Source organism: Homo sapiens, chromosome 20 (genome assembly GCF_000001405.40).
Source record: "Homo sapiens chromosome 20, GRCh38.p14 Primary Assembly".
Classification (NCBI taxonomy): domain Eukaryota; kingdom Metazoa; phylum Chordata; class Mammalia; order Primates; family Hominidae; genus Homo; species Homo sapiens.
The window spans coordinates 3190350-3204913 of NC_000020.11; the positions used below are offsets into that span (position 1 = coordinate 3190350).

At 54.3% G+C, this 14564-nt stretch overlaps 2 protein-coding genes across 3 annotated transcripts in view, besides 2 other annotated features; one reads left to right on the forward strand and one right to left on the reverse strand.

Moving 5' to 3' along the window:
- DDRGK1 (DDRGK domain containing 1) lies at nucleotides 1-14333 on the reverse strand. Its single transcript, NM_023935.3, has 9 exons — nucleotides 14188-14333; nucleotides 12864-13067; nucleotides 9993-10105; nucleotides 9652-9753; nucleotides 4882-5004; nucleotides 4481-4519; nucleotides 1416-1472; nucleotides 841-889; nucleotides 1-470 (listed from the first exon to the last, which is right to left on the reverse strand). Exons 1-9 carry the CDS (start codon nucleotides 14276-14278, stop codon nucleotides 304-306), a joined length of 945 nt encoding a protein of 314 aa, NP_076424.1. The 5' UTR covers nucleotides 14279-14333; the 3' UTR covers nucleotides 1-303.
- Nucleotides 12423-13021: an enhancer, noted in NCBI's record as "H3K27ac-H3K4me1 hESC enhancer chr20:3183418-3184016 (GRCh37/hg19 assembly coordinates)". NCBI's record gives its function as "activates a minimal SCP1, AML or CMV promoter by ChIP-STARR-seq in naive H9 embryonic stem cells {active_cell/tissue: H9 hESC(naive)}" and the evidence as "EXISTENCE:reporter gene assay evidence [ECO:0000049][PMID:30033119]".
- Nucleotides 13716-14564, forward strand: part of ITPA (inosine triphosphatase) — a 23385-nt gene continuing 22536 nt past the window's right edge. For both annotated transcript variants that reach the window (XM_047440139.1, NM_001424409.1), the window contains exon 1: nucleotides 13716-13930. The gene's annotated coding sequence lies outside the window, so the exon portion shown is untranslated. The remainder of the gene's footprint in view (nucleotides 13931-14564) is intronic.
- Nucleotides 14025-14244: an enhancer, noted in NCBI's record as "active region_17476". NCBI's record gives its function as "activates an Ori minimal core promoter by ATAC-STARR-seq in GM12878 lymphoblastoid cells {active_cell/tissue: GM12878}" and the evidence as "EXISTENCE:reporter gene assay evidence [ECO:0000049][PMID:35858748]".

Sequence of the window (14564 nt, forward strand, 5' to 3'; positions counted from 1 at the left end):
TAAATGTGCAACAGGCTATTTTCTTGAATGAATGGATTCATAATAAGAACAGGACTTCACCAGCTTCCAAGGGACCCTCCCCACCTCTCGGATATATTCTGAAGCCTAAATTTCACCTGCTTATCTAGGATCCTAGGCCAGGCCTTCTGCCACACCAAGCCACACCAAGCTCAGCAGTACTCACAGGCCTTTAATCTATAACTGCCTGGCCACACCATCACTTCCCCAGGATGGTGGGGAGGGATGAAGATGTATAGCCAGGTAGGCCACACCAACTCTGAGTCCAAGAGGGAAGGACTGGGGTCAGGCTGGGGCTTGGGCAGGGGACTCCCGGCCCCAGGCGATGAGGGAGTTGCTGGCTTGGGCAAGCTCGGCGATGGACACCCGGCCCCGCTGTCGGATGAAGTTGGCCACGGCGGCCAGTTCCTCTGGGGTTATGTAGATGAACTTGCCCCGGTCGTCAATCACACCTGTGGGGACATGCAGGTTGTGGGGCTGAGGCCTCCTGGGCGTTCCCCATCTGGCCTGAGAATGCCCACCTACTCCTTCACAGCTGGCTCAGGGCCCTTCCGGCCTCCTGCCTGCCTGGACTTTCCTGGCTGCATCCAGTCCTGCTAGGAGAGTCGAATCAGGCTGCCCTGCCTGTCCTCTCCCACTGCTGCCACCTCCAGGCCCTGGCATGTCCTCCTTGTAACTGCATCCAGCTACTCAGTGCCCCTCCTTGCACACCCCTCCCCCCATCTTGGGTGGTCATCCTGCCTCTGCAGCACATCCCTGCAGCCCCTGTGGCTAGACACTCTCCAAGGCCAGGACTGCAGTGATTGGCTCTCATCATCTCACCTGTTATAGTCCCCTCAGCCAGCAGGTCCTGGATGCGATTTATGGTGTCCTATGAGGAGAACAACTCTCAGAATAGAGATAGGCACCAATGTCCCCAGAAAAAGCACTGAAACCTCCCTCCCACTACAGCCAAATCTCTTTATTTCCCTCTCATGCCACGCCCAAATGTGACTCTGTGCTTTGCCTTTGGAAGGGCCCTGGGTAGAAGGGGCTCTGGTCCTGGGCCCTGCAAGACCCCCAAAAGAGTATCTCTTCCTGTTAGAAGCGGGGCAGTGATGTTTGCAACACAGGCTGGTGCAGTCTGTGCATGAGAGTTGTCAAGGTAACTGATTTGGGCTGCTTTGGTCACAGGGGCTGGCAGAGTGATGGGGTTTGGGTTTTTTTTTTCTTTCCTGCCTGTTCGTCCATTAAAAATGCAGGATTCCCAGGGTGCCAGGAGACTTCTGTGCACTACTCACTCTTGGTTGGGGACAAGGTAGACGGTGCATCAAGACTCTATCTTTAGGGCAGGTCCTCTCTGCTAGCCACAGACCCCTGGCCACACTGCACACAGCAGGCCACGTTCCAGGGCTTACCTGAGTGCGTAGGCCCACCTGGGAAGCCAGGTCTTCCAAGAGCACAACCTTGGACTGCTACAAAAAGAAGGAGGAAAAGAAAGAGAGGCTGAGCTTGGGCAAATCCCTCTAAGCATGGGCACCCTCCAGGTTTGCATTCTGATCTGATCTGTTCTCGGTGGCTGGAAAAACACTGTACACACTCCTGTAGGACAGCCTTGCTCCCCTGACACACACACACACACACACACACACACTCACTATCACCCATTGACAGAGACCCGCACAATCATAAACCCTCTCATTCCCCTTCTTGCGAGGAAGGAATCTACCCAAAACAACCACCTGCCTCATGGGCCCTGTCCTGGACTCCGAGACACACGAGTGGTAATCAGAGCACAGCAGCCACCATCCTCTGCATCCAGCCATCTCTTTTTAACATCATGGACAAGTTCAAGGGGACGCACCATAGGGAGGAAGGAGGCGGTGAGAGTCACCAAAAGCTATTTTAAATAACTGTCACCAGGACTTATGCTTGCTGAGGACCTACTAGAACAAGGCCCTGAGAAGGTAGGAGGGACACATGCTGAACAAGCCATAGTCCCCGCCCTGGAGCTCGCAGTCCGGCTGGTGAGACAGGTGAGTACATGGACAAGAGGGAGAGCAGATAAAAGCCCGAGCAAGCCAAGGTCTCTCAGTAGAGGCTGTGGGGGCCCACTCCTGCCTTGCCTTCGCTGGCCGCCCCACTGGCCTGGTCCCCCACAACCTGACACACCCACACTTTTTATCCATCCTCTTTATACCATCTGAGGCACTGAGCCCACCCTTGAAATCACTGTCACTAATACCGCTGAGTGCTTTCCAGCACAGCCACGTTCTGTGCTCCAAGTGCTTCTTCATACCCTCAGTAGAAACCTGAGTTCCCAAGGGCGCAGCGAAGGGTCCACCGCTGTGTCCACACAGGCACCTGCCCCCACTACCCCAACACACAGCACAGGACTTGAGAAAAGGCAGTTCTTTTGCATTTCTGTGAATCCTCCACCGCAAATGAGCTGGGGGAGGACTGACATGGTGACACCTCCCTGACTGCAGATAGCATGTGACTTGTTTGAAATGCCAAAGCCGTATGTACAAGCAAGAAGGCAAGCGAGAGGCAGCTGGGTCAGGATGGGCAAGGACAAAGTGACGTGGTCAGCTGGTCTCTACCTACAAAACAGGGATCAGGCAGCGGGCTCTCAGTGACAGTGTGGTGCGAGAACATGAAGTCACCCCAGGTGCTCCCTGATGACCTGGCCTGAGGTGCTGCTGGGGCCAAAACACGTTTGATAAAACAAGCTAGGTGTGGTGGCACCCACCTGCAATCTCAGCTACTCAGGAGGCAGAGGCAGGAAGATCGCCTGAGCCCAGCCATGGTCAGACAGGAGAATGGAACAAGATCGAGTGAACCCTACACCTCTCATAAACGATGCTGGGTGCAGGCATGTTCCTCCAGTTCTGAAATCTTAAGGCAAAAAAGGTCTATCCCCTTGGAGCAAGGAGGAAAGCAGACAGACTGAATTTCAGAAGTCCTCCTTTTCCTTGCAAGACAGCAGCTCTAGAAGAATTAGCCAGCACAGGCTGGAAAAACTTTTTTTCTTTTTTTTTTGAGACAGAGTCTCACTCTGTCGCCCAGGCTGGAGTGCAGTGGCACCATCTTGCCTCACTGCAACCTCCACCTCCTGGGTTCAAGTGATTCTCCTGCCTCAGCCTCCTGAGTAGCTGGGACTACAGGTGTGCACCACCATGCCTGGCTAATTTTTGTATTTTTAGCAGAGATGGGGTTTCAGCATGTTGCCCAGGCTAGTCTCAAACTCCTGACCTCAAGTGATCTGCCCGCCTCGGCCTCTCAAAGTGCTGGGATTGCAGGCGTGAGCCACCATGCCCGGACAAGCTGGAAAAACTTCTAAGCTCCAAAAGAGTTTGGAGAACTCCCAGAGAATAGTTACCTCCAGGGAGCCACCAAAAGTGAGGGCTAGAACTGGGGACCTTTCTTCTGGTTTCTGCAGAGTAAAGGGGGATGTTGAAGCTGACCCCCTCCTCTAATTCCACCTGGGAAGGCTTCCTGGGGAGGGGCTTCAGGACCATCTTACTGCCTACTGGGTAGGTGGGGACAAGTTCCAAACAGCAGCAGGCAAGTGTGAGAAATAACCTGCCCGGCCACAGCCCCTAATCAAGTGTGCCAGGGTAGAGAGAGGGCTCCATGAGAGGGGAGTGCACACAGCCTGAACAGACAGGACCCTCTCAAAGCTGCCAGCATTTCCCCCACTTAAGAACCCCAGACTCAAGGCTGTGAGCCCAGCCCCTCGCTGCTGGCAGGCGTCTAAACCCTGCTCTCTTTCAGGAGAGGTGGCGGGAGGATTATGCAAGCCCTGGGTCCTTGGCAGCCCCTGGTAGCACCCCCACCACCGCCCCCGCTCCCTCTGCACTCCTTCCCTCAGCCGCCTCTGCACCTCTGAGTTGCACTTGAAAACCTCTCCCCTCATGGCATCCTTCGTGGGAGAGAAGTTGCTTAGCAGCAAAGCAAAGTAGGATGTGCTTATGCAACCTGGAGCAGCATCGAGGCGGCCTGCGCAGTGGCTGCGGACAGAAGGGGACACACTGCCGCCCCACCCTAAACTCCAAAGGAAACACCATCCTGTTCCCCCTGAAAGACCCAAGTTCCCAGTCAGGAGCACATGGCAGAGGATGCTTGTTTCAACTCAGTGGAGCCTCAGTGTGACAGAACTGACAGAAAACACATGTGAAGAGACTTGAAAACACACTGACTCACTGAGCGTGGGGTCTGAAGAGCAGGGAAACTGTCAAACTGAGTGTGAGGAAGTGATCAAAGGCTTGCGCCTCCCACACAGACCCAGGTCCTTCTCCACCTTCGGGGTTGGAGGGAGAGAAACTCTCCTGGCCAGGACCCTGCGGCTCTGCCCCTCTGGGCCCCCCTGTCCACTCCTGCATGAGCCTGAATGCCCTGCCTGCAGCCCCCGCTGGAGGCATCCAACCTGCACATGCCAGGCAGGGAGCTGACACTCAGGCTCTGTTCAGTGGCTTCTTACCTTGATGTAGTTGATGAACTCTGTCAGGAAGCTCTGGGACTAGAGAAGCAGAGAAATCAGGGTGAGCACCCCCTAGCAAGCCCACAGGGTTCTGTACCCATTCACCCAAGTACCACCTGCTCACTTGAGGGCCACCTGCCTGCAGCCTGCCTTTGGCCCGCCCAACCACCTGCACATACCGCTTGCCTACACAAGCAGCAGAGCCTTCCAGGGTGAGAGTTTCGGAGGCACCAGCCTCTGCTGAGGACAAGGCCTCTGGCCACTAAAGCCTGCTGGTACTGATGCCCACCCACCTCTCACTGCCTGGCCAGGGGCGTCTGGGATGGGGTGGCTAGCCTTGCGTCTGGCACAGGCTGCACTGATGGGTGCAGAGAGGGGCTTCCCAGGGGCAGCAGGCCCACCTGTTCCTCAGTCATGGTCTCTCCTACGCCTTCCTCCTCCACCACAAAGGCCTCCTTCAGTTTCAGGTACTCCTCATGCTCCCGCTGGGCCTGCTCCTCGCGGGCCTTCCTCTCCTCCTCCTCCTGTGGACATAGGAGGCAAAAGTCAGGTATCGGGGGCAGAACAGGGCAGGCACCTGTTCTGGTTGCTGCTACCCCTGCAGGACACCAGAGCATATAGCCCAGCCTTTTCTCAGAGACAGAGCTCCTTCAGGACCCCCATTTCTCCATTCCCCCAAGCTGAACCATGGGCCGAGGCCCCTCTTGTCATCGGTTTCATCATCACCTGGACAAATGCTGCTCAGCCCCTTCTCCCGCCCTCCGTGCTCAGGGGATCTTAGCAAAAATCTGTTGAAAACCCTGCCATGACCCCACTCTACAATACCCTCCAATCACCTGCCCCATCCTCTCCTTGTGTAACTCACCAAGCATACCCCGTCATGTCCACACCTCATAAGCAAATGTGAACCCTGCATTTCCTCACCACCCACTCACCCAGTCAGCCCACTCCAGTCTGGCTTCTGTGTTCCCAGTTCTATGAAACAACTCCTGCCACAGTCTCACCCATGCCCTCCACTCACCAAACTCAAGGTACAACCTTCAGGTCTCATATGTCTGTCCTCTCAGTGATCCTTCTTTCCTCCCTTGGCTTCCAGATCCCACCCTCTCCTGGATTTCCTCCTGCTCCTTGGGCCATTCTTCCCGCCTCCTTCATCATTCAGCCCTGCCTCTTCTCTCTCCTCCACATTCTCTGGGCCACCTCGCCCATGCCCAAAGCATCAACCCCTTCCTTGCCAGTGACTACCACACTTGTAGCCCCACCCGAATCTCTTCTCCCAAACACACAACGGTCCATGTGACACAGCTACTGGGCCATCTCACAGGCAGCAGACAGACCCTGGGACCTACTCTTCTACGTTTAGACCTCCTCCTAGGTCCCTGGCTCTGTGAATTAACACAGCCAACTGGTCAGAAATGAGGTCCTATTGACCCCTTCTTTCTCTAACTTCCAGAAAACTCCCTGGTCTGTCTATGTTGCTCCATCACCACTACTGCCTGGTAAAACAGCCTCCCTCAACCCAACACATTTTCCAGAGCACTCAGAAAAATTTTTAAATGGAAAGCTAGCCGGGCGTGGTGGCTCACGCCTGTAATCCCAGCACTTTGGGAGGCCAAGGCGGGCGGATCACGAGGTCAGGAGATCGAGACCATCCTGGCTAACACGGTGAAACCCTGTCTCCACTAAAAATACAAAAAAAAAATTAGCCGGGCGTGGTGGTGGGCGCCTGTAGTCCCAGCTACTCGGGAGGCTGAGGCAGGAGAATGGCGTGAACCTGGGAGGCAGAGCTTGCAGTGAGCCGAGACTGTGCCACTGCACTCCAGCCTGGGGGACAGAGCGAGACTCCATCTCAAAAACAAAAACAAGAATCAGAAAGCTAAAGCTGAGGCAAGTAATATACAAGATGAGTCTGGGGCATCTTGCAGTGCCAGAAACTAAGTGCTCAAAAAACAAAACGAGTGTGTGTTAAAGGTACACAGGAGCCAACTGAAAGGGCTCCCAATGGTCAAAGCTGGAACAATCTCAACAACGTAATAAATAACGTTACTGGATTATAACACAAAGTACAAAATAAATACTCATGAGTCTATACAAATATAAAAAAAATGGCTGGTCGGGCACGGTGGCTCACGCTGGTAATCCCACCACTTTGGGAGGCTGAGGCAGGCGGATCACCTGAGGTCAGGAGTTCAAGACCATCCTGGCCAACATGGTGAAACCTCGTCTCTACTAAAAATACAAAAATTAGCTGGGTGTGGTGGCGGGTGCCTGTAATCCCAGCTACTCGAGAGGCTGAGGCAGCAGAATCGCTTGAACCTGGGAAGCGGAGGTTGCAGTGAGCCCAGATTGCGCCACTGGACTCCAGCCTGGATGACAGAGTGAGACTCCATCTCAGAAAAAAAAAAAAAAAAAAAAAAGACTGCATGAATATTTAATGAATAGGGAAGGAGAGACATATCTCCTGTAAGAGATTTCCATATAATTTATGTAAGAACTCTAACTCCCCAACCCTTAAGTGTGGGCTGTGCACAGTGACTTCTTTCCAAAGAAATACGGGAAGAGGGGAAAAAAACAGTCACATTACAGTGGAGAAAGCTGGCAAACAAAACCGCAGCCAGGCGACCAAGGTTAACAACATTAGGGACAAGTGAAGCGGATAACTTGCATATTTGGTATGTTGCATTGAAGATGGAACTTCACTTATTGTCTTCTTCAGTCAGATCCATAACCCCAGTCTAACCATGAGAAAAACATCAACCAAACTCAAATTAAGGGACCTTCTACAAACTACTTGCCCAGGACTCCTCAAAATTGTTAAGGCTGGACACAGTGGCTCACACATGTAATCCCAGCACTTTGGGAGGCTGAGGTGGGTGGATCACCTGAAGTCAAGAGTTCAAGACCAGCCTGGCCAATACGGTGAAACCCCGCCTCTACCAAAAATACAAAAATTAGCCAGGTGTGGTGGTGCACGTCTGTCATCCTAGCTGCTTGGGAGGCTGAAGCAGGAGAATCATTTGAAATCTGAAGGTGGAGGTTGCAGTGAGCTATCGCGCCACTGCACTCCAGCCTTGAGAGCAAGACTGTATCTCAAAAAAAAAAAAAAAAAAGGTTAAGATCATCAAAAGCAAGGAGTCTTAGCTGGGCACAGTGGTGCACACCTGTAGCCCCAGCTACTAGGGAGGCTGAGGCAGGAGGATTGCTTGAGCCCAAGAGTTTGAAGGTGCAGTGAGCACTCCAGCCTGGGTGAGAGTGAGACTCCATCTCTCTTAAAAAAAAAAAAAAAAAAAAAAAAAGGCCGGGCACAGTGGCTCATGCCTGTAATCCCAGCACTTTGGGAAGCCAAGGCAGGAGGATCACAAGGTCAAGAGATTGAGACCATACTGGCCAACATGGTGAAACCCTCTCTCTACTAAAAATATAAAAATTAGCTGAGCGTGGTGGTGCACCTGTAGTCCCACCTACTCGGGAGAATGAGGCAGGAGAGTCACTTGAACCCAAGAGGCAGAGGTTGCAGTGAGCCGAGATCGTGCCACTGCACTCCAGCCTGGAGACAGAGAGGGACTCTGTCTCAAAAAAAAAAAAAAAAAGCCTGGTGCAGTGGCTCACGCCTGTAATCCCAGCGCTTCGGGAGGCTGAGGTGGGTGGATCACCTGAGGTCGGGAGTTCGAGACCAGCCTGACCAACATAGAGAAACCCCGTCTCTACTAAAAATACAAAATTAGCCGGGCGTGGTGGCACATGCCTGTAATCCCAGCTACTTGGGAGGCTGAGGCAGCAGAATTGCTTGAACCCAGGAGGTGGAGGTTGTGGTGAGCCAAGATGATGCCACTGCACTCCAGCCTAGGCAACAAGAGTGGAACTCCGTTTCAAAAAAAAAAAAAAAAAAACAAAACAGAAATTCTGATAAACTGTCATGACACAGAAGAGCCTAAGGAGACATGACCACTAAATGTAACATGGCATCCTAGATGGGACCCTGGAAAAGAAAAAGGATACTGGGAAAAAACAAATAAAATATGAATAATGGGGTCAGGTGTGGTGGCTCACACCTGTAATCCCAGCACTTTGGGAGGCCAAGGGAAGAGAATTGCTTGAGTCTAGGAATTCAAAAGCAGCCTGGGAAACACGGTGAAACCCAATCTCTACCAAAAAAAAAAAAAAAAAATTAGCCAGGCATGGTGGTGCACACCTATAGTCCCAGCTACTCGCAGGGACGGGGAACTGAAGTGGGAGGATTGCTTGAGGCTGGGAGGCAGAGGTTGCAGTGAGCCAAGATCGTGCCATTGCACTCCAGCCTGGGCAACGGAGCAAGACCCTGTCTTAATCAATCAATAAAGAAAAATCTGAATAATGTTAGAGTTTAGTTAACAATAATGTGTCAATATTAGTTGTGAGGAAGGTATTAAAGTGAGGTAGGACGTTAAGGATAAGGGAAACTGGTTACAGGGGAGAAGAGCCAGGATATTTAAGGTACATTAAGCGGGACCAATATTCAGAAAGGAAAAAACCCTCTCTGCTAATGCCTCCCCCATGCTGTATTCTGGCTTATCAGCCACAGCACCCACATCCAGGCTTCCTGCCATCCAGGATCCTGGGACAACAGGTCAGTCAGAGGTCACAGGTCTTCCCAGCTAGGGCAGCCCTGGCTCTAACCCTATGTACCCCACATCTTTATGGTGTTCTCTTTTTGGGAAACCTGGTTCTCAGAACAAAGAAAGCATCTGGCAAACAAATGTTCATTAGTCACTACTGCAGTGGACCCCATTCCCTGAGCACCTTCTGTATGCCAGGCCCTCGATGTAAGAACCATCTCTTACAATGATCTTCCTCAGCCTCAAGGCCTTCAGGATCCAGACCCCCATCACCTCTCTGCCATCTTCTCCTCCTCTCCTGGCTTTCTCTGCCCAGCTATCCTCCTCGCCTCGCGTTCCTCACATGCTCCCCGAAAGTTCAATAGTCACGTGCACAAAAATCCCCACTCCAGGCTCTGCTTTTCAGCAGTGGCTTTTCTAGGCTGTGGTGGAGCCTAGGGACCAAATAAACCAGGACCTGCCCTTGTGCCAGGTCTATGGCCCACCTTCTAGGTTGGAGGTGCCAGGGAGCTGCATAAGAAGCAAGGCTGCCTTGCCTGGTCAAGGGTCAGAGGTCAGGGTAGGGGCTGGCCTCACCTTCTGCTCCTCCTCCAGGCGAAGCCGCTCCTCCTCCTTCTTCCACTCAGCTTCGCGCTGGGACTCGAGTCGTTTCCGCTCCTCACGTTCAGCCTCCTCTGCCTGGAGAGAGGTCTTCATAGGGGCACATCCCTCACCCCCGGCTAGAGTGTGCCCACCGCCCAGACAGACTAGGGAAGGCAATGCCTGGGCCAGGGCACAGACCCAGGCGGCAGGAGACAGAGCCAGGGAAGCAGCAAACACCAGCCCAGCAGGCAACAAGCCCTCAGTCTGCCTTAGGGAAAAAGGAAGGCAGTGCCCTTTCGCACTTCCCAGAGCTGCACCCCATCCCTCCGGCTTGCCTCACGCTGGGCCTTTCGCGCTTGTTTCTCCTCCAGCTTCCGCAGTTTCTTAGCTCCAATTTTCCCCGACAGGTGAGTTTCCGCTGGCTTCTCGACACCTTCCTCCTCCTGGGCTGGGTATGGTCAAAGAAAGACAGTTCAGGTTCTGACCAGAGAGGACTGATGACGATGGATCCCCAACCCCTCGTCCCTCCCCTAACAGGGGGATCCCCTTCCACCCACCTGCAAATGTCACTAGCCCAGCTCTGCCCTCCAGAGGCATCTGCCATGAGTGCGTGTGTGTGTGTGCATGAATATGTAGGGATGGGAGAACGGTGAGGGGCCCATAGGGCAAGGGAAAAGATGAGAACTTTAGGCCGGGCACGGTGGCTGAAGCCTGTAATCCCAGCACTTTGGGAGGCCGAGGTGGGTGGATCACAAGGTCAGGAGATTGAGACCATCCTGGCAATCATGGTGAAACCCCATCTCTACTAAAAGTACAAAAAAGGGCTGGGCACGGTGGCTCATGCCTGTAATCCCAGAACTTTGGGAGGCAAAGGTGGGCGGATCACGAGGTTAGGAGATCGAGATCATCCTGGCTAACATGGTGAAACCTCATCTCTACTAAAAATACAAAAAATTAGCTGGGTGTGGTGGCGGGCACCTGTAGTCCCAGCTACTCAGGAGGCTGAGGCAGGAGAATAATGTGAACCCAGGAGCCGGAACTTGCAGTGAGCTGAGATCACGCCACTGCACTCCAACCTGGGCGACAGAGTGAGACACTGTCTCAGGGGAAAAAAAAATACAAAAATAATTAGCCGGGCATGGTGGCGGGTGCCTGTAGTCCCAGCTACTCGGGAGGCTGAGGCAGGGGAATGGTGTGAACCCAGGAGGCGGAACTTGCAGTGAGCGGAGATCGCGCCACTGCACTCCATCCAGCCTGGGCGACAGAGCGAGACTCTGTCTCAAAAAAAAAAAAAAAAAAAAAATTAGCCAGGTGTGGTGGTGGCCACCCGTAGCCCCAGCTACTAGGGACGCTGAAGCAGGAGAATGGCATGAACCCAGCAGGCAGAGCTTGCCGAGATCTGCTGCCAAGTGGTGTGAGCCGAGATCACGCCACTGCACTCCAGCCTGAGTGACAGAGCAAGACTCTGTCTCAAAAAAAAAAAAAAAAAGATGAGAACTTTAGATATTGCATAGCCACAAAGAAGGAGGTATCAGATTAAAATATGCAAGTGTCTCGGGGTCACAGATAGCGCTGCCTGGATATTTAAGGTACTGTGGCTGATAAGCCAGAATACAGCATAGGGGAGGCATTAGGAGAGAGGGTTGTTTTTTTTGGTTTTTTTTTTTTTGAGACGGAGTCTCGCTCTGTTGCCCAGGGTGGAGTGCAGTGGCGCGATCTCGGCTCGCTGCAAGCACCACCTCCTGGGTTCACGCCATTCTCCTGCCTCAGCCTTCCGAGTAGCTGGAACTACAGGCGCCAGCCACCATGCCCCCCTGATTTTTTTATTTTTATTTTTAGTAGAGACCGGGTTTCACCATGTTAGCCAGGATGGTCTCAATCTCCTGACCTCGTGATCCACCCGCCTCGGCCTCCCAAAGTGCTGGGATTACAGGCGTGAGCCACCATGCCCAGCCCAGAGAGGGTTTTTTTTGTTTGTTTATTTGTTTTTGGAGACGGAGTCTCGCTCTGTCGCCCAGGCTGGAGTGCAGTGGCGCGATCTCGGCTCACTGCAAGCTCCACCTCCCGGGTTCATGGCATTCTCCTGCCTCAGCCTCCCAAGTAGCTGGAACTACAGGCACATACCATCACGCCCGGCTAATTTTTTGTATTGTTAGCCAGGATGGTCTCGATCTCCTGACCTCGTGATCCACCCTCCTTGGCCTCCCAAAGTGCTGGAATTACAGGTGTGAGCCACCACGCCCGGCCCAGAGAGGGTTTTTTACCTTTCTGAATGCTGGTCTCACCTAATGTACCTTAAATATCCTGGCTAATGAACTCCAGAGTTCTCTGGCTTCTGTCTCTGGTGCCAAACCCCCAGGCAAGGGAAGTCCCATGAGGAAATTTATCCCGCCTCAAATCTGAAATCCTCCTCACAATCGTCAGGAGTTGCTGAGGATTCTGGGCTTAGTCCCTGGCCAGGATTATCCCTTTGCCCATCAAACCCTGGCTGAAATGACAGTCCCAACACTATGACTACCTCAGGGCCAGCTGCAAGTTAAAGACCCACTGATGCCTGTGCAGCAAGGGTCTCTGAACCCAAGTCTGAGCCAGAAGGTACGGCAAAGAAAGGGCCTCTTCTTGAGCTAAAGGGATAATCCCCAAAGGTACAAGGCAAAAGCCTCAAATGCCCCCAGTTTCTGAGAAACGCCCAGACGCCCCCTCCTCAGGCTCAAGCCAGCTGCCAAGTACTGGAGAAGACAATCCTGAGGGCTCTCCTGGTCTCCTGGAAGCAGGGATATGGAGGCCTCTGTGTCAACAGAATGTCTCTATCTTTAAACTGTTTTCCTGGGGTTGTGGGTGACCCCACTCCAGGAACTGCAGAAACTCTTGGCCAGGCACTCTGCCTCTAGGGTGAAATCCTCAGGGAATAAGTGTGCCCATAACAGGAAGGGTGCGAGGATAGAAGGGGTGAATTGAGGAACATTCTGAATCAAACTGAAGACCCTTGCCCTCTGCTTGGACACTGAGAGCCAAGATGAAGGTAGGGGGGGTTGACCCAGTGGAACAAATGCCAGGTCCCAAGTCCCCCCCTACTCTACCGTGTGGCTCCCAGACGTCCCTCCTACCCTGAGGCTTCATACCCTACTCCCCCACTTAGCTTTGGGGGCCCTTTTATCCCCCCCTCCAACCCAAACCCTCTCCCCACCAGGCTGGGCCCCTCTCACCTAGGATGACAGCTTCCTCCTCGTTCTCATCTGCTTCTGCCCAGGCCACCCGCTGGGCTCGACGCTGGGCCTGTAGGCGGCTGCCCAGGTCCCTCCGGCGCCGAGGCCTGCCTCCAGCTCTCGGCTCCTCAGGCTCCAGGGGCCCAGGCTGGGCCACCCGGCCTGCTCCTGCCAGCTCCTCATTGTGCAGTGGCTCTTGGCCGGCTGTAGGGAAGACAGAAATGACAATGCTGCCTATAAGCCCAGCCCGGCCCATGGCAGGAGGAGCGGCAGCCCGGAAGCCTCACCTCCTCTGCTTAGCGGCCTGCTGCCCACAGCACAAGGCCCCGACTTCTCAGTCTGACTGGCAAGGCCTTTTCCACCAGGCCCACAGCTTGGTCCCAGGCGGGGGCTCAGCCCTTCCCTCGGGCCTGTGTGAATACTCCTCTCCCCTCCCGGCTCCACCTTTCCAGCTGGCCTGTCAGGAGGCCCCTATCCTGATGTCCCCAGCTCTCATCGAGTACCCCCTGCAGGAATCCACTGATTTCTCGCCTAACACCACCTGTGGTTTTATCTGGCTCCCCAGCCAGAGAGTACACTTCCCGGCGGTGGCCGAGCCTCCCCCGGGAAGACCTGCTGGATCTCCGCCTTCCCTCAGCGTGTCCCTTCCGCTCCTGGGAGCGCGCAGGTGCTCAGAGGTAGCTTGTGGGCCCAGGGAGCAGGAAAACACATATACAAACCCGCCCGCTGACCAGAAATGGGGGGAAAGAGGGAGGATGGGTGTATCTGTTCTGTGCCCTGGCCAATGACATGGCCTTCTGATCGGGGAGCGGATTGGGGAGGGAGAGTGGGCCCTCTCCTTGGCGGGAAGGGAGAGAGCTTCAGGAATTTCCTGGAGCCGCCTCGCGCTTCTCCAGCTCGTGGGGGACAGGCAGAAAATATTCAGATGCCCCCTTCCTGGCACCTGCTCTGGAGCCAGGCTGGGAGGAATGGAAAACCCCTGCGGCCTCCCTAACAGGTGCAGAGGGAAAGGGCCCCGACGGTGACGGATGGGAGTGTGCGCCGGCCAGGGCCTCAGGCCTTTGGAGGTATGGAGTTCCCGGGGGTGAAGAGAGGGATGAGGCCAGACTCTGGCTTGGAGTCGAGAGAAAGGGGTAGCGGCGCGGCCACCGATTCCAGGTAGGGCACTGCGGAAGCCCCACCCGGCACACGACTAGCGCACGGACGCGCATGCGTCCCGCCCGCCCAGGTGCGCACGCGCAGGAGCCGCGGCGCGACGGTCCACAAAGGCTCAGAAGGCCAGAAAACCCGGTACCACCAACCCTGGTGCAGCGGCATCTCCTACCTGATGCCGCCCGGCCCCGGCTGCGAGTCAGGAAGAGGATAAAGCCGACTAGCAGAGCCGCCGCTACCAAGTACCACACAGGCGCCACCATGACGAGGGCCTCAGTGCAGAACCACTGCGTCCACCCTGAGGCCGGGATCTCATAGGCCCCGCCCCTATTTCCCAATCTAGACTCCGCCCACTACTCGGAGCCCCGCCCAGCGGCACATCACAGAGAGGCTTTAATGTCAGACATTAAAATGAGTTTGGGGGGTGTAAAGAAACCCACAATGTTAAGAGGAAATTATAGCAGACGGTATGTCCAGTAGAAAACATCTATGTATGTTTTTTTTTTTTGAGACGGAGTCTCTGTCGCACAGGCTGGAGTGCGGTGGTGC

Excerpts from the sequence above, each read along its gene's own strand:
- DDRGK1 (NM_023935.3), bottom strand. The coding sequence starts at position 14,278 with ATGGTGGCGCCTGTGTGGTACTTGGTAGCGGCGGCTCTGCTAGTCGGC. Across the intron at positions 13,068-14,187 it reads CCGGGGCCGGGCGGCATCAG|CCGGCCAAGAGCCACTGCAC; the intron begins GTAGGAGATGCC and ends TCTTCCCTACAG. Across the intron at positions 4,520-4,881 it reads AGACCATGACTGAGGAACAG|TCCCAGAGCTTCCTGACAGA; the intron begins GTGGGCCTGCTG and ends CTGCTTCTCTAG.